General features: G+C 42.7%; 1 protein-coding gene across 5 annotated transcripts in view; it reads left to right on the top strand.

The window, feature by feature from the left end:
• Nucleotides 1-22,603, top strand: part of PCSK5 (proprotein convertase subtilisin/kexin type 5) — a 473,167-nt gene that overhangs the window by 325,207 nt on the left and 125,357 nt on the right. For all 5 annotated transcript variants that reach the window (XM_047423454.1, NM_001372043.1, XM_011518769.4 and 2 more), the window contains 2 exons: nt 12,488-12,590; nt 18,445-18,581. In XM_047423454.1, coding sequence (XP_047279410.1) covers nt 12,488-12,590; nt 18,445-18,581 — 240 coding nt within the window. The remainder of the gene's footprint in view (nt 1-12,487; nt 12,591-18,444; nt 18,582-22,603) is intronic.

Genomic DNA, 22,603 nt, shown 5'->3' on the forward strand with positions numbered 1-22,603 from the left:
TAGAAAATGTTGGCCTCTGACAAATTCATCTTTAGAAAATTATAACCTAAATGACACTAGACAATTGCATAAGCCAAAGACTGTTCAAGTTCCCCAAGCCCACAGGCAGCTTTTCCACAGCCCATCCCTGCCCATTTTGGCAAACTGTGAACAGCAGAGAGAGGAATTGGCCTTCCCCAGGAAAATTTGGGGCCCCAGGCACATCATACCATGTAAAATCTGGTTAAGATAAATATCAAGAGCAGCCTTGAAAGCAAAAAGAAGTCACAGCAGGTCAGACAGCAGCCAGAGGGAGTTTGGGAAGGGGAGGAGGGCCTGAGTCACCAGCTCTGCCTGAGATGATCACTAGAATCGAGTTTCCAGGGAAAGGCAGGCTTCCTGAGCTGTGGATGCTAAGCCTGCCTGGTAGCTGCAGACCTAAGCCATGGGCTGGGCTAGGCTTTGAAGGCCCAGGACCCCCGATATGGGGCCCAGACTTGTTTCACTGGTTGCTTGTTCCCTAGAGATGCTGCTAAAGAGGCCACCAAGGGGAAAGTTACTTAACTAATTCAGGAAGGTGTGGTGGCCTCCAAGGGAGACGCTGAGGGCCTGCTTGGGGTGGGCTTGATAATAATGGAGAGTGGAGGCCAGGTGTGGTGGCTCATGCCTGTAATCCCAGCACTTTGGGAGACCAAGGCAGGCAGGCGATCCTTCTCTGTAAGGATCACCTGGGGTCAGGAGTGCAAGACCACCTGATTAACATGGTGAAACCCAGTCTCTACCAAAAATACAAAAATTAGCTGAGTGTGGTAGCACACACCTGTAGTCCCAGCTACTCAGAGGCTGAGGCAGGAGAATTGCTTGAACCTGGGAAGCAGAGGTTGCAGTAAGCCAAGATCACACCACTGCACTCCAGCCTGGGTGACAAAGCATGATTCTGTCTAAAAAAATTAAAAATTAAAACAAAAAAAAATGGGGACTGGAGTCAGACTCCAAGGGGGAGAGTTTGAAGGCACTGCAATCGGCTCTTCTACCAGAGGGACTGAATTGTTCTAGAGGCCACATAGACTTTCTAGAGCTACAATGTTTCTAGCAAAGTCAGAGGTTTTTTGCAAGCTCCTCCTCTGTCCTCTACATGACTCCGCAGGACTTCTCTGTAGGACTAGGCTGAGAAGGCAAGTTCTCAGGTCCATATGGTGGAGGGAGACAGAGGCTACAATGCCACTGGTGGAACCCGGCGCTCTACAGCATAGATGGGGTAGAGAGAAGCATGTAGAGCCTTGAAAGGAGATATCAAGGCATTCAGGAAAGGAAAAAAGAGCAAGAATGCATTGAGTCATACCACTCTGAAATGTTTTGATGAGTCAAGCATCCTCTCATGATGTTATTAATGTCAAAGAAACAATTCCTTGGGTTTATATTGAGGTTGCACAAGTTAGCTCACAACCAATTCCTGACCACTGTGCTAAGAGCTGGGTGAAGATCAGTGAGTGTCACAAACAATATTATATTACTCTCAAGAGCTTCCTCCATAAGGCAACAAGAAGGATAATATTAAGCAATAGAGGAAGAGCTGACCTGCCTTTCTGTCCAATATTGGTTTAAGATGCCCACAATTTTTTAGGAAGTGAATTGTTCTAGAACTGTAGATTTAGTATTGGGGGTCAAAGGGAAGGGGGCTGCCATTTCCTGAATAGAACTTTGGTGCCAAATAGAACCATGCCTGGTTGACTTCTTAAAAGTAATACAATGGTTAATACAATTGGAGTCTGTTTTCTTAAGGGGTCCCTGAAGAGTTGTGGAGAAGAAATCCTTTTGAAATATTTTGTGTATACTTACTACGCATTTCTTTTTTTGTTTGTTTTTGAGATGGCGTCTCGCTGTCACCCAGGCTGGAGTGCAATGGTGCAATTTTGGCTCACTGCAACCTCCATCTCCCGGGTTCAAGCAATTCGACTGCCTCAGCCTCCCAAGTAGCTGGGACTACAGGCATGCGCCACCACTCCTGGCTAATTTTTTGTATTTAGTAGAGATGGAGTTTCACCATGTTGGCCAGGCTGGTCTCAGATCCACCTGCCTCAGCCTCCCAAAGTGCTGGGGTTACAGGCGTGAGCCACCACCATTACTATTACCCAGCCATTACTATGCACTTCTAAATCAACCACAGTATGAGAAGGAATAATATTACCTGATATTAGGCAGGAGACAAACAGGAACTAGCAAAGTTTGGAGCAATTGAACTCATTTTATAAAGCTGAAGAGAGATTAAGTACATTATTCAAAGCCACCAGACAATAAGAAGTGAGTTGAGCGTTGAGTGTTTCTAAAGGTCTCTCTGGTGTTTGCTCTCTGGTGTTGCTTATCTGAGGGACCCAGTTTTACTCACTGGAGTAGCAACAGCTGAAAATTATTGAGTGCTTACTAGTGTGCCAGTATGTTTCAAAGCACATTTCATGTGTTAACTAATTTAATCCATCTGGCCATTTTCTTAGCTGTGATTATCACCATTTTACAGATGAGCTGACTGAGGCTCAGAGAGGTTATGGAACTTGCCCAAGGTTACACATGTAGCCAAGACAGGGCTGAGGTTCACATCTAGGACACCTGGTTCCAGATATAGGCACTTCAGTTCCCCACCTCTTGGGGGAAGGCATGCTTCCAAGTGGGGAGAAGATAGCTCATCGTCATCCGAGCACACAGTGGGAATGAGAGGAATCTCAAAAAGGAGAAAGAGCCATCCTCTCTACTGTGGAACCAGTGAGGTTCTAGTCCTGGATTCCACACTCTGGACAGCCTAAAGCTCTGATAGGATGCAAACCACGGGGAAGGACGTTAGTAGGCAAGGAAACACCTGAGCTCTCTGACACCTGGATTTGGAAGCCTCCTGCCCCTCCACACCACATTCCCCACCCCCATCCATACAAACGCCGCTGCCCTCACTTTCATTCTCATCTGTTTATGTGCTCCACCTCAATGAGGTGGGAAGGACTGTACAATGTGTCCTGATACCTGCCAAGTAGGGGAGCCCCCACCCACTCAGTGAAGAAGCAGGTACAGCCCAAGTGCAGTGAGCAGTCCATAGGGGGACCAAGGATCCCAAGTTCTGAACCTGACTTGATGAAACTCTGCTGGGGAAAAGCCCCATCTGATGGAGATTCACCTATTTCTGACCGACTTTGACCTCAGCAGCCTAAGAAGGGCACAGCCATGGCTCTGGAATTTTCCACAGCACAGTGCAGGAAAAGCTGGCTTTGTTTGGTATAGGGAGGCTGTCTCCAGGCGATGCTAATAATAAAAAAAAGAACGTGTGTAGGTTGCATCTGAAGCCCAATTGCTTTGCAAGGTCATTGTGCTTGGTCTGGAGGGTCATTAATTTTAGCTGCCTCATTGCCACCCACATATGCAACCAATACATTCCTCAGGGGCAGGAGAAAAAGCACAATTTGGGATCCAGTCTGACCAGGGTTTAGATGATGTTCACACAGGATTAACATTCTGGTGCTTAAATTCCTTGATCAAATGGAGCTGAGACCCCTAACTACCCTACATTATTATCTAATATTTAATGAGATAACACAATTAAAGAAACAGAATCATAACTAACCTCTGTCATCCATTCTTCTGGTGCTGTAGGTCTGTTTTCTCATTTGATCCCCACCACATCCTATGAGAGAGAGAGAGAGTATTATCCACATTTACAGAAGAGGAATGTCCGGGAAATATGTGATTTGATTAATTTCACACAGCTGGAGAAGGAAGGGACCCAAAAATGTAACCCAGGACGGGATGACTCCAAAATGTGTGTCCTTACCCAATGTAGTGCTTCTTACGATGCTGACCCGCAGTAGGCACGGAGCAAACCTTGATTCCTGTCTTTATTTCCACACTTCGTCTTTTTGAAAGCACAATTTGGTCACTCCCAATAAATCATTGGGCAGCCCAACGAATCAAATGCTTCTTCAGTCACCAAGGGACAGAGGCATCCTGGGTGCCGCATTCCATACAGACCTGTCACTGGGCAAACCTGCGGATCTCTTAGACAGTGTTAATGAGAACCGGTGAAAGACTAAACTGTCCGTTACAAAGCTGCGACCAGCTATCATGCAGCTAGAGCCCCAGGCCTTGGTATGCAGCTCCTCCTCTCTCCAGGGGCTTCTCTTTTCTCTTAATTAGAGATTTGGCTAAAATGTTTGAGCACTTGAAGTCAGGGCGTAAAGAAATAGGAAAGGAGTGTGGGAGATGAATGATGAGCCAGCACTTTCTATGTGTTGATGCAGAGAAAGAGAAAGAGGGTAATTTGAGGATGTTCCTTCCCATGGGGCAATGGAGCAGAGAAAGCCACACTGCAGCGGTATTTTCAAGGGGTTTAAAAGCAAGTTATGAAAGCCATGAGGGAGGTTCATTGGGTTGCTAAAAAAACGAAAGAGGATGATAACAAGTCTCATCCATGTGTCGGTGTTTCAGGAATTAAAAGCTGTAACAAGGAACATTTGGGTGGTATTAAGCTCTGTGGGGAGGACTTGGGGCTTTAACTCTCAGTGCACTAGCACCTCTATGTAGTTCAGAACCTCAGGAAGGCTCTGTGGGCCACGCTCCTGAAAATTTCACCTGCCATCTTCATCACTCCAAAGAGAAAGGAAATGGCACATCCCTTAAGGCCTGGCAGTGTCGTGCTCACTCATGGGAAGCGCTCTCAGCAGCGGCTTCCCCTCTCCTGCTGCGGGCTTGCATCTCATGTGGAGAGAGGCCCCCTTTCTCCCGGCCCTCAGCCCTTTCAAGTCATTCACTTTCTCAGTAAGCGTCTCCCAAGGGTGACTTGCATCAGGTTGTCGGCGCTGCTTTCTGAAAGATAAATAAGTTATTCTGTCAAATTATGCTCACTTATTTCTGTCAACATGTATTAAAACTTAGATATCGCCTCACCGTGAATGCATCAGACACTGTACTGTTCTCACCACTAGGGTGGGCCCTCTGCAGCCACAAATAGAGGAGACAGTTGGGGATAAAATCATAACTGATGAATAGAGAGACTGAGTGCACTAGCAAACCTGTAGAAATTCTAGGCTCACAGGAATAGCAAAAGACAGCCCACTAAATAAAGAGACTGTCAAGAAGCATTTCACACCTAACATGAGCAATAAATGGATTCCCATCCACCAACAACGTTTTTCATGATTTTCCTCATCCACAGGTTCAATGAGAAGCTTTGTAAATTTATTTTGTTTAACTGCAGACAATAATCACTCTCAGGGCTGGGCATGGTGGCTCATGCCTGTAATACCAGCACTTTGGGAGGCTGAGGCGGGCGGATCACCTGAGGTCAGGAGTTCAAGACCAGCCTGGCCAACATGGTGAAACCCTGTCTCTACTAAAAATACAAAAATCAGCTGGGCGTGGTGGTGGGCGCCTGTAGTCCCAGCTACTCGGAAGGCTGAGGAAGGAGAATGGCTTGAACATGGGAGGCAGAGGTTGCAGTGAGCTGAAAATGCGCCACAGCACTCCAGCCTGGGCGACCGAGCAAGACTCTGTCTCAAAAAAAAAAAAAAAAAAAAATCACACTCAGGTCTTTTACCTCCATCCCACCCCCAAACCCCACCCTTTGGGTCTGGTCTTACAACCAGCTGTTTAGAAACTTAAAAAAAAAAAATTGACACATAAAAATTGTGTGCATTTATGGTGTACAGCAAAATGTTTTGAAATATGTATACATTATGGAATGGCTAAATTAAGTTAATATATGCATTACCTCACATACTTATTTTTTGTGCATGATGAGAACACTTAAAATCTACTCTTAGTGATTTTCAAGTACATGATACATTGTTATCAACTCTAGTCACCATGTTGTACCATAAATCTCTCGAACTTATCCCTCCTGTCTAACTGAAATGTTGTATCCTTTGACCAAAATCCCCCCAGTCTTCCCCACCACCACAGAGAACTGTTACCATAATTGTGGTTGTAAGCTGTTTCTGAGGAGCCAGTTTATTTGTTTTGAACAGAATTAAACAACATAGAAAATCCCTGTCCAGACCCTCAACCAAGTTAATTCATTCAAAAAAATATTTCTGAGTTCCTCTTAGGAACTTACAGCCTAACGGGCAAAACAAACTGCTTGTAAAATCTGTTTACTTGATACATGGAATTGCCTTTTAAAGAATGATGGCCATTTTAACAGAGAAAATAAATTTGGAGGGTATAATCAATCATTGAGTAAATCTGCTTTGTGAAACATGCCTGCTCAAAGTTTGTTTGTTTCACAGTAAATTCCTTTTTGATGCCCTTACCTCATCAAGTAGTTGAGATGAGGCATGTACTCAGTTCTTTCTTTTTATAAATAGCAAAGCTACTTGGAACACTAAAGGGGGAAATGAATCCATACCAGCAAATATCGTAGAAAGAGCATGGGCTCAGTCTCAGACACACCTGGGTCGCAGCCCAGCTCTGCCACTTACCTAGTTGAATGAACTTATGCAAGATTTTTTAATCTCCCTGAGCCTCAGTTTCTTGTTTATAAAAGAGGTTTTTGTCTGGATTAAATATTACATAGAACAGCACTTGTAATACAGTAGGCATCCATGAATAGGAGCTTGTATGATTGCTACATCACTACTACATTCAGGTGCGTCAGCCAAGACTTCACTTTGGATGTACTTTTTTAACTGCCTGACTGTGGTCAAGGGCCAAACGACGGTGGAAACTAGAAAGATCAACTCTTAATTCTGCCCTTTGAACAACGTGTAGGCTGAAGGAAACTAAATATTTGTGTGTGTGTGTTGGATCCACAATTTACGATCCATCCTTTTTGCAGGAGTGCCAACCCATGAGGTTGCCAGAGTAGCATTTCAGAGCATCTGCACAAACCCCACAGATCAATGTCAGTGCCTGCCTGAGAATGAAAAAGCAATGGGACCAGGAAGGATAAGTCTTGTCAATCAAAAACAGAATATGCAGGAAGGACAAGGGCAAGTTGTCCTTGAGAGAATGGGATAGAGAAGAGATTTCCTCCAGACACCTCCAGGGTAGGGATGTAGAACCCTCTTTCTAGCTGCCTAATGTTCATTCTGTCTTTAGTGCATCCTTGAGGAAAGGAAGAAGACAGAGTTTTCCATCTGCCAGATGTCTCCCTTATCCCAAGTTTTATTCATATATCAATTTATTTCCATTATCACAGGAGGTCTCCCAAGCCTCACTTCAACAGACTGGCTTCCCAAGATGGTGGATTGGTTGATACCCTTTGGACCCATCCCCAAAGACAGGCAATACTGATTTTGTTTTTTGGCTAAAATGAAGTATTGGCCTGCTAAGACACAAACTCTTTGTGTAGATATTTTTTTAAAAAAATATTGTAAAATATTCATAATATATATTTACCATTTTAACTATTTTTAGTGTGTAGTTCTGTGGCATTAAATACATTCACACTGCTCTGCAACCATTACCACCATCCATCTCCAGACCTTCATCATCTTCTTCCACTGAAACTCTGTACCCATTAAATAACCCTTTCCCCCTACCCTTAGGCCCTGGAAACTACAATTCTACTTTGTCTCTATCACTTTTACTACTCCAGTTACCTCATATAAGTAAAATAATACAATATTCGTGCTTTTGTGACTGGCTTATTTCATTTAGCATAGTGTCTTCAAGGTTCATCCATGTTGTAGAGTTTGTCGGAATTTCCTTTCTTTTTAAGGCTGAATGATTGTGTTGACTTAAAGATGTTGCAGTCTCAGTTGATGGCCTCATAGTTTGAGCCTTGCTATAAAACTTTATGCTTAACAAAGCTTTGAAAAACAACTGATTTCATTAGTACATAAGTAGCTGAAAGTGTTGCTGAGTATTTATTATAGCTGGCGAAAAAAACATATAGATGTTTTTAATAAAAATTATCTTCACAGAATGGTATCTTAAGTTGGAAACTACATGTTGGCATCCTTGCAAAGAGATAATATTATTTGATTAACACTTGTGATAGTAGAATCACTCATACTCTATGATTTCTGGCATCTGAGTGACGAGGCACATAAATAGGCCTCACAGGGAAGTCTACAGATAATTTCATACCCCAAGGTTACTCACTGAAATAACTAGATCAAAAACCAAGCAACTGAATTCTCATCAAATTCCTCCCATCCTCTCTTACCAATCATCTTGCTAAAAAGTTTTTAAACTCACATCATAAAATATCATATTTATGTATCGATTAATTTATTCAGTGTACATATTTATTTGCTAGAATTCTACAATAAATTTAGCTGTAACCAATAAGGAAATATGAGGTATAAAAGAAAGCGTAGCATTTGTTCAGGAGAAATGAGGCTCTTCTGGCCATGTAAACCTAAAAAAGGATTATACTTCAATCTTATGTTGTAACTTTGGATGCTATGATACATGTTCAGTTATTCTGGAAGACTTTATAATGTTTGCTTAGAATCTGGACTTGTTGATAGTATTCTACAGTGTTATCAAGAGATGGAATAAGCACAGTAAGCCACTTGTAACTTTTTAAAATTTATAAGTATTAATTTTTAAGCTGTGTCTTCAACTTTTGAGGTAGCATTCCTCTCCAAGTGACTACACTTCCTCAGTGTCTTTGAACCATTATAGCATAGGATGAGAAAGAAACTAAAGGGGGAATGGAACATTTTTTGATCACAGGAGAAAGATGATCTGGAAATCATAACAATGGATGAAGATGCCAGAAAGAAGAGCTTGTAGGATGAGGTGGAAAACAAAATACTGGCTCCTGAAGGCTCTGTTAAAAGTTGACTTTTTGTAAGAATTTTGTATATCATGCCTGTCATAAACATTCAGCTTCATTGTGCAATGAAGACAGATGACAAGAATTTGCTGCTCCAAAAACAACAAAAAAGAGCAACTTCTCTGTGTCCTTGGAATCTGGTTTCTTCAGTTCCAAACATGCAGTGAAAACTTGTGCCTGTAAGAGCTGGGGGCAGTTGCTTATGTAACTAATTAAACATCTACGTAAATATGAGAATGGGAGAAGCCTTCTCTATTCTCATCAGCTGTTCTAACGTGAAGAGGCATGCAGACTTGAGAGACAGGCACAGTTTAGTTGTCTTACACTGACGCTCTTACATAAGCTTCAAGGTCATGAAGTTTTCACCATTTTGTTTCCAAATAGTAGGAGGAAAAAACAAGTTTTACAAGTCCCTTATCAGGGAGGGAAAGGGCTTGGGAAGGTTTAAGTTAGCAGAAAACTTTTGTAGATCAGACAAGGATTGGAGATGTGAGGAAGAGATTAAACACAGAGGAACTGGTGGAGAAATATTCTGAGGAAAGAAGATTATAACAGTAGATGGGGAATTGACAATAGCCAGGAAGAGTGGCAGACCTTTCTTTTGGAGACAGAAGATAAGTAAAAAGCCAAAGAGAAGACAGAGATGACTTTTGACATTGAGAAAAAAAAAAGCCAAGGGAACTCAGACATCTTATTGCAAATGAGGAGGTGATGTCTCCTTTTGCAGAAGAATGGGTGGAACTTGGGCTTTGGGATGGCTTGGCCTACCCCAGGTGGGGGATGCAAGCTAGAGATTGGAAGAGATGAATGAAGGGATAATCGCACAGTGACAGGGAGTCACCTAGGATGATGTAGACTTATAGTATGGCATAAGAAGCTGTGTCTGGAGGATGTATTTAAAATCTTGGAGATGGGGTAATCTTTTGGGGTCATTATATCTAAGGCAGCACATTGTGAGTGCCAACAGAGGCCATTATAGTTGAGTAGATTGAAGACATGCAAAGCCAGAGTATTAAAGCCACCTACTGGTTTATGAAAGCCAATGAGAAGGCAAACAAGAGATACAGAAGAAAATTTAAAATTTTCACAGTTATATCTTAATAACCCTCGACTAACCTAACGATGCCTCATCTGTATGATAAAGACTTTGAGCGCAGACATGATATAACTCTCAGAACCTTCTAAGTAGCATTTGATTTAGCAGAGCAAGGTGTTTTAGTTTAAAATCCTATCCTAGCATTGGATCTGACACATCATGGAAATGAGGATAGATGAATATGAGGAGTTCTGCCCATTCCTACAGGCACTGATGTCAAGGCAAAGTAATTGTCTTTGCCTCTGGGTCTAGCAGAGTCCTGTGTACACCCTTGCTCTTCTGTTCTGGTTTTTAATCTGGCCTGTCTGAGGAAGTAGAAGTCCCTTGGCTAGCAATTGTGTTATAACTATCTATAAATCACTCGCATAAAATCTTTGAGAACCCACGAGTAGGGTCTTTTTAATTTGTATGTCTCTACATCTCCCTTAGTAGCTGGCATGTATGTAGTGTTAAAAAATATATCCATAAAATGAATGAATGGATAAGCTGTGCTCTCTGAGTCCACATTTCTCTAGAATACGATTTTTGTGAGGTTTTCAGCTTCTATGAACCTCTCCATTCTTGTTCCACTCAGCATATTTTTTTGAAAGATACATAGATATCATCTAACTGTAAAAACAAATCGTTTGCACTGGCCCCTGTAGGCAAGGTCTGCTTCTTCCCACTGAGTCTGCCTTGGGTCCTCTGCTCTTAATTTTGCTGGTACCTGGACTGATAATCACCCTGCTCAATTGATTGTGCCTCCTACAACAATAGTGGAAGCCATAAATAAGAGGTGAAGTGAAGGAGCCTGAATAAATATAAAGAAGGCTGCATAACTATGATGATGCCTGTAGTCAGTGACACAGTCTCAGCTTGAAATCACCACTCCTGCTAGATGGAGGTCACAGCTTTTTTCTGTCTCAGGGCTACTGGTTACCAAGAATGTAACCAGTCCAGTCAACACCTTTGTATGAGTTAATAAAAGGTGTCCCTCTACAGAGGCAGGCGCAGCCTACACCAGAGTGCCTGGCATGGTGAAGCAAATGGGCTGGATGTCAGCCTCCACTGGACCATTCGGGTGGGTAGGCACCTTGTGCAGTGAACAACCTGCATACCTGTTGGTATGCCTTTGCCCCTGCTGGTTATGCACTCTTTTGGGCCTAGGTCTCCTGGGAAGTTTCCTAGTCAGTCCTGAAGTAAGAATCACAGTCCCATTCCCATTCTAAAAATTGTATATAAGTTTCCCAGTCCAAACTGTACCTTGGTAACAATGAGGAGACATAGAGGAACAGAGCCCGGGGTGTGCAGGGTGTGCTGTGATTAGATGTTTGCATCACTCTGAACATGCACTTTTCCCTTCTGTTAACAAAATGAATAGAATAACCCTACATGAAAGGCTTTTTCTGCTACATAAAGGCAAACTCTAGTTGTCTCTTCACAGTCATCTTTGGGGTTTAGTGCTAGCAAGTGTAAAATTTACATATATAAGATTTACTTACATGCTAGCTGTACCAGTCCAGTAAAGCGATGGGGGAAAGAGGGATGAATTTCCCTCATTTCCTCACCAGTCAAGTCTAGGTTTCCAGGGTTCTTTTCAATGCAACTATGCTAAATCAGGCAGTGAATCTTGGAGTTGCAGTAAGACAACGTGATTAAACCCTGGGCGGGTCCTGCTATCTCACCCCACCAGCTGGATCTCAGATTGACAGTGTTCAGACATGGCTTATGGGGGCTGTCAGAGTTGGAGGGGGTTGAGGTCCAGTGGAGGTTGTGTCTCTGCCAAAATCTGAAACCATATTTTCTGGGCATGACCAGTCTCTAAACCAGAAAAAGTGGCTCTGTGGATCTGACCAAAGAAGCCTGTCAATTTTTTTTAAGACAATAGCAGGTTAGGATGAGTGCAATGAGGGTTGGATTCAGTGAGTAGAGGCCCATCTTTGAGTCTATGAGATTTACTTTCCATGAGATTGGCCTCCCTCTGCCACCTTTGCTGTGGGAGTAATTTCTTAAAATGTTTCCAAGAAACTTGTGAGGCTGGATTTGCTTCTGTTGCAGGGCCCCATATGTGTTTTTCCTTGGGAAAGATAAAATTTCCAATTAAAGGAAGAATTCCCTGGCTATTTCTTCACTATTACTCTTTCAGAGTGAGATGTAGCTTACAATCACCCAATGTCAGCCAAGACTCAGCACCCATTCTTGACCAGTAACCATGATTACCACACCTCTACCCCATGGGGTGGTAAGAAAAGATCTAGGTGGTTCCTGCTCATTGCTTGACTTGAACCAAGACTATACGGCCCTCTGTGGACCAGGAGACCTCAGCTTTTAATGGAAAAGTCAGCAGGAGTTCAGTAAAGGGGTCTGGTGGGAAGCCCCGCTTGGCCTTCCCTACTTATAAAATCTGTAACACATGTTGACTAGATTCAGAAATATGTCATTGCCTCATAACTTTTTGAGGTTCCAACTTCTGGAGCCCCCGGGAGAGGAGCAGTTGTTATGATAAGGTCAGGATTTGGGACTAGCAGCTGAAGCCATTCAGGGCCTCTCCTCTCTGTGTTGTCTGCATTGCTTTCAGGCAGCCACAGAGATCTGGCTGCTCTCAGACTGACAGCCCAGGCAGGCTTGCCATGTAGAAATGAAATAAACAACTAGATTTTGTTCCCCAGGAGAATATGTTGATGAGCATGGCCACTGCCAGACCTGTGAGGCCTCATGTGCCAAGTGCCAGGGACCAACCCAGGAAGACTGCACTACCTGCCCCATGACAAGGTAAGTGGCTTCTCAGGATCTCCCGGTGGTGTGAGCTCATGGATTGCAGGGTGGAGAGAGGAGGTGCTCACCATCTTAGCAGCACCTCATGGGCCTGCAGTGAAAAAGAAGCAAACTCTTTCCCACTCCACAGATATTCTCCTTGGTCTGGGCACAGCCCAGCTCTGTAGTATCCTCTCCCCATGACGCCCAGTCCCCACCACAAGGACCAGTTCCCTGGACATGGAACAGATTTCCTCATCAATCAATAGGGTGCCTTTGATGCCTGAAATCTCATCCTTTTCTGCATACCCGTCCCTCAATCATCATTTCCATCTGCTGGTCAAGTATCTACTTATTTCTAGAGTCAGTTCAAAAGTGAACTGTTCTTTTTTTTTTTTTTGAGACAGAGTCTTGCTCTGTCACCCAAGTTGGAGTGCAGTGGCGCGATCTCTGCTCACGGCAACCTCCGCCTCCCGGGTTCAAGCAATTCTCCTGCCTGAGCCTCCCTAGAAGCTGGGATTATAGGCGCCCACCACCACGCCTGGCTAACTTTTGTGTCATTTAGTAGAGATGGGGTTTCACCATGTTGGCCATGGTGGGTTCTATGTCTGCTTCCTCTCCTATTTCTGAATGGTCTTGACCTCCTGCCCTCAGGTGATCTGCCCGCCTCAGCCTCCCAAAGTGCTGGGGTTACAAGGGGTGAACTGTTTTTAAAGGCATTTCTGACCTCTTCCCAGTAAAAATAATCTCTTCCCAGCAAAAATTAACCATTTTTATGTCCCTTTGCTCTCTATAAGCTTCCATAAGAGCAGCTGTAGCCTTTGAAGGTTTTCATTTACAAAGCTATCTCTTCATTAGACTGTAAGCCACTTGAGATACTCATCTTTGATCTCTAGTACCTACCACAGTTCGGGGATAATAGCAGGCACTCAGTAATGTTTGCTAACTGAGTTAATGAGGGAATAGCAAGTATGCAAATGGAATGAGCATCTTTGCTAATACACTGGGAATTTCTAATAAAGAAAGCTGGAGGCCTGTTTTATTTTCAGTCAATGCTCCTCTGAGCCTAGCACTGAATATTTTTTGGCTACCGAGTATTTCAGTGAATGGCCTCATCACTGCCCTGCCCAACGCAAAGGAAGCAGGTCTCTTGCAGGCAAGGGTGATGAGGCTGCTCCAGTGGCAGGCGCTTTGCATCTCTGGGATGGACATGCCCTCTGCTTTGCATTATGGTCATTTTGTCCTACTTCTGCAAGACTATAATATTCTTGCAAGCGGGTGCTGTGGTGTGTTTTTTCCTTTATTCCCCACAGTGATCAACACATAATTCAATAAATGTGCTTTATTGAACTTGATGAAGTGTGGAATCAATATCATAGGTTTGGCTCTCCAAATAGCTCCCTCAGAAAGAGGAAGGAAGAAAGGAAAGAATGAATAAGAGAAGGAAAAGAGGAAAGAAGGAAGGAGAAAGGACCGAAGAAGACACAAAGGAACAGTTTTAAGAATTTTTAATGCTAACCATGAGCATATTTTTCCAAGTGTCTCTTTAAAATAACTATGCCTCTAAATATTGAATTTGCTTTAAAGAAGCATCAGGACTTACTCTAAGATACAGATAGCATTCTCAAAATGAGGTTCTGTTTTTTCTCCAATTCCCCACCATACCAACAATCAAATGCCAATGCATGTTTGGACGTCTTTTGAACTAGGGGAATATTTTAACATTTGTTTAATAAGGCAGCTACCACCCTTCTTTTACAATTTTATAAACCACTGGGTTTAGCTCCTTAAAGACAATTAAAAACCTGGAGAAAGCAAGTGACCTCTTTGCCACTGTATTTAACATGCAAAGCTCTGTGATGCCAGGATCCTCATTGCCCAACCTAATTTCCCTGCCCAGTCCTGAAGGAGTTAGAGAGTCAGTGAACTAATTAAAAATATTTCAAAGTTACCTCTGTTCTGACCCATGCTCAAACATTGTATTTGATCTATTTCAATGAATTCAGAGAAAAAAATCTTTTTACTAGATTTCATTCTTTTAGAATATTAAAGAACCAAGAAATTACACTAAGTGCTGTTTTAATGGCTTTAATTAGGCCAAGTCAACAATCAGCAAAGAGGACCAGCTAACCCTGACATGCTGTCTCTTTCATTACAGTTCATGTCACACACACATCTGGGGGCCTTCTGGAATACTCAGCGCCAGTGTTAAGATCATCTCTGCCCAGCTGCTTAGCACTTGGTTCCACTGCATTCTCCCTTTCTTTCAGCCCTGTTTGGTCTGGAATGGTTCACTTCCTATGAAAAGGTCAAGAGCTGGCATGAGTTGGGGAAAGAAGCTCTTCCCCTGCAGAGATGAGCTTGCCTGGGCATCTCAGGAATCCATGAATTGGATGACTGGTGGTCCCAGAGATGCCTTGAGTTGGCTTTAAGGAACATTTTCATCAGACCCATTTTCTACTTTTATAGAGAAAAATATCTATTCTCTTCCACTAGGGAAAATTTGTTGGTGTCTGTTGAAAACTGTGGCCATTTGAAATGGGATTTTTCTTCAAGTTTCTTAGCAATATTTTGGGGGGAGGTTGGAGAATGTGGGGTGGGTCGTGGTGACATAACTCAGTGCCTTCACTTAAGCATAACTGTCTTCCCTATCTTTCTATCTTTAGAAATAATCATCCTCTTACAAAAACTGGAGATCTCACCTATGCTTTTGTTAGGGTGGACATGGAGGGAATGGTTTAAAGCATAATTATGTGATTGATATGTTCCTCAAATCAAGTCAAAAAGACAGCCCCTTTCCTACATAAACATGGAAGGGTTCTATATCTGCTTCCTCTCCTATTTCTGAGTGGTTTTTAATGGTTCCCATTAATGGGAGATTACTTCTCCCAAGACAAATGATTTCCCCCCCAAACCAATCTGTCATCTCATCTTGGACAGGGGTCCCCAAACTCCAGGCCATGAACTGATATTGGTTCATGGCCTATTAGGAGCTGGGCTGCACAGCAGCAGGTGAGCAGCAAGTGAGCAAGTGAAGCCTCGTCTGTATTTATAGCCACTCCCCGTTGCTCATATTACTGCCTGAGCTCCATCTCCTGTCACATCAGCAGCAGCATTAGATTCTCATAGGAATGTGAACCATATTGTGCACTGCCCATGTGAGGAATCTAGGTTGCGTGCTCATTATGAGAATCTAATGCCTGATGATCTCTCACTGCCTCCCGTCATCCCCAGATGAGACCATCTAGTTGCAGGAAAACAAGCTCAGGGCTCCCACTGATTCTGCATTACGGTTAGTTGCATAATTATTTCATTATATATCACAATGTAATAATAATAGAAATGAAGTGCACAATAAATGTAATGCACTTGAATCATCCCAAAACCATCCTCTGCCCCCCATTTGTAGAAAAATTGCCTTCCATGAAACTGGTCTGTACTAGATTGTTCTCATGCTGCTATGAAGAAATACTCGAGACTGGGTAATTTATAAAGAAAAGAGGTTTAGTTGACTCATAGTTCTGCATGACTGGGAAGGTCTCAGGAATCTTACAATCATGGCAGAAGGCAAAGGGGAGGAAAGGCTCCTTCTTCACAGGGTGGCAGGAAGGAGAAGTGCTGAGCAAAGGGGGAAAATCCCTTTATAAAACCATGAGCTCTTGTGAGAACTCACTCACTATCACGAGAACAGCATGAGGATAACCGCCCCCATGATTCAGTTACATCCCACTTGGTCCCTCCCACGACTCGGATCATGAGAACTATAATTCAAGATGAGATTTTGGGTGGGGACACAGCCAAATCAAATGACAGTGCCTAGTGCCAAAAAGGCCGGGGACCACTGCTATAAAAGATAAAATGATGATGTACTTCACATCCCTTTCTCAATTGATTTTAGCAAGAAAATAAATCCCCAGAATAAACTCGCCCCATTCTCTTTTTCAGCAGAACATTGAATAGCTTCCTTGCTTAAAATCCTCAGAAAGCTCTTCCACAGTTTTTCTTATAGAAAGATTTTGGGTTTTTTTGTTTGTTTGTTTGTTCATTTTAAACTAGCCACATCCAGACTATTCCTTGAAAAGTCTTCTAGCTCAGTAACTGGTGCCAGGGTGGGGCTGGGATATTCCCCTTTGGCATTAGTGCCATCCGCTAAAAATCTGGGCTGGGAGCACAGGCATCTCATTCTATGCCATGGTGCAGGGGATCTGTTTTGACATGGACAGCCAGATGTGTGTGAGTGTCTGTTTAGGACTGGGACTCATACTCTGCAGTGGACCAAAAGGATTGTTCATTCAATGGTGCTGCGGATGGTTAACAGAACATGAGGGCCTAGGAATCCAAGAGAGAGGTGGACTTCTCTCTTAGGTTGTCGGCTTGAATCCCATTCTGCCTCCAAACAGATGCAAATGACACAGACTTTCAGGGTATGGGAATGAATGAGATGGAAGACTGCAAGTGACATACTATTCAGGATGCCTTGTCCCACCCAACCTTCTTCCAAACCTGGGATTGAAATGGCCCACCCCCCAGTTCAGGGTTGGTTCTAGCTCTGGAAACAGTGAAGTTTAAACAAGCCAGTGCCAATACAGGAACAAGGTGCTTGAGGCCTACATCTGATCTTTCGTGTGGTGTCCAGCATAAGTGGAGAGGAGTAGTAGAGAGAAAAAGACATCCTTCCCTTTCTTCGCAGGCCCACTCAGATGTCCCAGGCCTGGATGGCAGCATTATGCCCACGGGAGCTTGCGTATGCTATGTGCTCAGTGAACCTCACAATTGATACAATAACTTATTCTAAGGGAGCTGTAAGAGATGCCAATTTGATGTCACCTGTATTACATAGGAATCATTTAGCGAATTCCACAGTAATCCAGACTGTCACTGAGCAGCGGATCTCAAAGAGTGCTCACCAGACCAGCAGCACTGGCATCATCTGGAATGCCAGAAATGAAAATTCTCAGCTGCCTCCCCTTAAGTCCCACTAAATTAGGAACTCTGGGTGTGCAGCCCCCAGCTCACTTCATCGATTCATATTACCTATCTGACTCTTGCACTTGATAAACATTTTGTATTTTTCTGAACAGAATACTTGGATACAATTTACTTAGTCACATTTGCTCTTACGATTAGTTTGCAAAGAATAATGAAGCAAAACTATAAAAATATTAACAATGACATTAGGATATACATTGTATATATGTAAAACCAAAGTTTTAGAAGCCCATATACCAACTCACCTGTAATGCCCTTTGTAGGTGTTCACAGTAGGTGTTCATGGTCAGAAAAGGAGACTGCAGTACTCCATATCTCAGGAAATGTTTGCAAAACATGACACTCAAAATCAGAGTTCATTGATTACTTGCAATATACACAGGCCAGGCTTCTAAGTAGCATCCGAGCTACAAAGCAGTGTTTTGTTTCACTCGTCAAGAGCCCTTGGAGCTGACATTTCCCTTGCAAAGCATGAGCATGCTGATAGATAAAGGAAGAATATTTTCTCCAAGGCCTCTCTCAGAGGCCCACTAAGTGTGTGGAAAGTTTACAGACCTCCATCTGACTGTTGGCTGGGTTTGGTTGGGGCCTATAATCTGGATTTCGTCCCTGTAGGCACCAGTTAGCTTGTTTGGAAGCAGATTCGGGATTGTTTTCCCAGCCAGTTTCTGGCATGCTGGCTGTTAGGTCCAAATCTTGGGCCAAGGATGGGTACGTGACTAATATTTCACATGTTCTAAGATGATCACTCCCAGGCATCCCCCTTGTTTCTGGAACAATGAAGTCAAATCTGTCCAGCAAACATGAATACCACATGTTCTGATACTTAGGGCCACTCTGGAAAGTCACCCTGATGAATTCTAAAAGTCTGCTTTTCCTCTAGGATTTTTGATGATGGCCGCTGTGTTTCGAACTGCCCCTCATGGAAATTTGAATTTGAGAACCAATGCCATCCATGCCACCACACCTGCCAGAGATGCCAAGGAAGTGGCCCTACCCACTGCACCTCCTGTGGAGCAGGTGAGAGACTGCTGCTCCTCCGTCTTCTGCACCCCAAACCTGTTCCTCTTCTGATGGCCATCATTTGGTTTGACCCAAAAGCCTTGTGTCTGGGGCTGAGGGTTAAGATCAGACAGCTGTTCACTGGAGAGCGTGTACAACCTTGAACTTTCTGCTTGCTGTCAGTACACAAAAAGCTTGTTCACCTTATTCGGGTGTAGACTCGGTGCCCTGGAAAAGATGAGAAAGCAGCTAAGAGATGCCTTTCCAGAGAAGGAGAGAGAAGGACGTAGAAGCATGAGGTCAGACATGAGATAGACAGTGAAGTTAAGATTTGTGGAGGTAAAAGTGAAGACCTGGGGAATTAAGAAAGACACGTTCTGTCTTTAAGGGAAGTATGCCACTTAGAAGTTGCCAGAGCTCGGCAGAGCAAGGTCATCGTTTCAAATGATTACAAATGTGACCTTTTGTGTCCCAGATTTACCTGCACTAAAAGTTTCCTGCTGTCATTGGATTCTATTTCATGCTCTCAAGGGTTCTCTGCATTCTGACCCTTGACTCCTTTCCAGCCTCAACTCATATGCCTGTCCCCTACCGACCTCATGTGGGCCAGATTCATATTTTATTTTTTTCTATATACTACTTTTTAAATTTGAGTCAAATTTAAAAATTGGGACATTGCAAATAAAAACTTGAGGGTTTAATGTCTCTTGAAAATTCAAAAGATCTGCCAACACTGGACCTGCATTTCCCAAATCATTACCTGGAGTCCAAAAGAGGCTGCTCTCCATCTCTCCCCAGTCCCCACCATTCCCAGTTGTCTCACTGATCCTGAGGCTGTCAGTTACCAGCATCATCATCCTTACATCATTTTTCTGGTGGAAGAGAATTATTGATCTTTATTCTTCCTTGAAATAAACCAAGAAAAATGAAGAACACATTGAGAGTACCAGGCATTTGCAGGAGATCAGGAGATAACACATTTCTGTATATAAATTCATTGCTTTGTGTTTCATGTGTCAAAACATGACAAATATCTGTCATATTTTACTTCTAGACTGCCTTATTCTGTTTCCTTCTTCATCTACAAGGTGATGATAATGCTTACTTCTTTAAGAGTTTTTATGAAAATTAAATGACATGAAATGAGATAAAACAATAAAGCATTTAGAACAGGGCTAGCCACATGGTGAGCACTTGGAATATTAACTGTTTTTATTTTTATTATTATTACTGTTATTGTTTGTAGCTGCTTAGTCTTTTGAGCATTTGAGTTTCTCTTGCTCCTAAGACTTCATTTGAGATGTTTCCTCTTCTCTGGCTGATGTCTTCCTATTCCATCTTAGTTTCAACATCATTTCCTCAGTGAGGGCTGCCCTAACCTCCTTGCCTAGATTAGGCCTTCACATCAGCAACCTGGGAACGCTGCACTTCCCCCTTCATGAGCCTCAACACATTTGATGTCTATTTGGTCCATAAGTTTCTATGCCCCATAAGAGCATGGCATGGTTTCTACCTTGTTTCTGCTGTATTTTAAGCATCAGCACAGTGTCTGGTATATGGAAGGTTCATAATAAATAACTGAATGAATTAATGAATGAATGGTTCAATGGAAGGAATGTTAAGACCAGCAGTCAGAAAATGTGGGTTCAAGTCCCGCCTTTGTTACTGACGAGAAGGTACTAAACCAGTCACTTCACCTCTTTATGCCTCTTCTTATTTGCAACAAAAAAAAAGAAGAAGAAGAAGAAGAGAAAGTACAAGATGGCATCCAAAATCACTTTTACATCTCCATATATAGCACAAAATTAGAAAGAAGTTTAGATACCAAACAAATGTCTAGTCTTCTAAGCATCCTACAACTACTTGGACCAATCTACCTATAAATGCACTGACATTTCTTCTATTTTTTTTTCTATTTGAAATTGTGTTTAATCCATTATCTTAAACATTTATTGCATCCCTTCTATTTACAAGTTACTATGCCCTGAATGCCAGAGAAAATGAGATAAATGATAGCATGATACTCATGTTCAAGGAATTACAGTCTAACAAGGAGGTTTGTCCTCATATGTTACAAAACAAGAAAATAATAGATGAAGACCAAATGCATGGTAGAAATCCTATCCCAGATCAGAGAAGCAGCATCACTTCCAGCTGTAATGAGCAGAGAAGGCTTCCTCGAGGTGGGGTGTTGTTTACCAAGCCCTGAGGTAGCTCTGCCTCCTTGAGAGTGTGATGTCCTTAAGAAGCATTAGTGAAGCAAGTGTAGCAGAGACCTTGATAACACAGTGCTGAAGAAGATGGATGACTTAATTGAAGAAGTTCCATATCCATAAATGGAAGCTTTAATAAAAGGCTAAAAATCCTCCAGCCGGGGTGTCCCATCAACCTTCATAAGCCCCTCCTACCAATTTGTAGAGATTGCATCCCTTGTTTAATTGTGACTTCATTAAGGTTTAGGTATGATGCCTCTTGGAAGTGTACATCTCCAGCTATATTGCTGAGGATTCACTCCAATTCTCTTCCAGATTTATTCACTACCAAACTACCCAAAGCTAAATTCCATCAATCACACAACAGCTACAGTAAGCAAAATGTGGTAGTCAACTTCATCAAGTTTATTTTCAGAATCCCTGCACCTTTCTTTTATCCTTTCCAGCAGTCCTTTTCGCCTCATGCCTTCAACCCTCACCCTTTCTTTTCTTCTATGGACATCCAATATCATCATGCTGGTCCACTTTCTCACCTAACAGAATCAGCTGCCAAGAAATGCTCTGGTAAAAGTGAATTACTCTCCAGAATAAACAAAAGCCAATCCAAACTCTTGTCCCCTATTATCCCATTTGAACTCTTGTCGCCTGTTTTCCCAGGAAAGTTTTTGGTGCCTAACAAAAGTATCAGCCCTTCTACCGCTGGAAATAGCTTCGTCTACATACTATTATAATAATTTAAAGTCGAAGACCCTGGGCAAGTAGCCAAAAATTTATGCATGGTATTTAAATTTCTGAGCTATCCAAATTATCATCCATAACTAATTGAGCAGGGCTACTCAAAATCTGACCGAATCTTGACATAGTCCTGGACCAAACCTGTCGGAAAAGCTGGTCATGGCCAAGGCATCTAAGTGACCTCCCTTTGTAGGTCTATGTATTTTAAACACTGAGACCCCCTGAAATCTCTGTTCTTTAAACCCAAATTATAACACCCAAAGAGGCACCTCAATAAAGCCATGTCCAAACAATAAAAATGGGATTGAAGAACACTTCCTTCTAAATCTGGGCCCGTCGTTGCTAATTTTTAAGATTGATGATCCAGTTGGATATAGGGGAAAAATTGAATATTGCCAAATTCCACAAATACATATTTAGAGCCTTAGACTCCCTCTAAGCATCTGGATCCTGAGTTGATGTCTTGTGAAGGTGCAGGGGATGGAGAAGAGGTAGACTTCCTCACTGCTCTCCCTCAAATCTTCCTACCTACACCAGAGAAATTGGGGAACTCTGAAAAAAAGATTTTTTTCTGAATGAGTCATGGTGGATGGAAGTGGCATTTGCAACGGTTTCATAAAGTGGCTGAGAACATAACTTGGAAGGATGACCCTCTTGTGATCTTCAGAGATTCCAGGTTCCACCAGATCAGAGTCTTGTGCTCCACAATGTTGATCGATAGCTATAGAATCACCAAATGCACATTAGTCCTTCCAAACCCTCTTCTTTCCTTAGAGGATAATCTCTTCTATGTCTAATTTAGAAACAGCAGAATATTTTCTTCCACCACCTCTGTGGAAGCCCTTTTTATTTTCTTAGTCCTATGGGAACCAGTAGCCTTCTAGTAGAAAATCACAATTAGCAAAATAGGTAGCTTGAGAGCCCATAATCCAAAAGCATGTTTTAAAAATTGCATTTCAGGCGAGGCACAGTGGCTCACGCCTGTAATCCCAGAACTTTGGGAGGCCAAGCCAGGCAGATCACTTGAGTCCAGGAGTTCAAGACCAGCCTGGGCAACATGGTGAAACCCTATCTCTACAAAACATACAAAAA

This window comes from Homo sapiens, chromosome 9 (genome assembly GCF_000001405.40).
Source record: "Homo sapiens chromosome 9, GRCh38.p14 Primary Assembly".
Taxonomy (NCBI): Eukaryota; Metazoa; Chordata; class Mammalia; order Primates; family Hominidae; genus Homo; species Homo sapiens.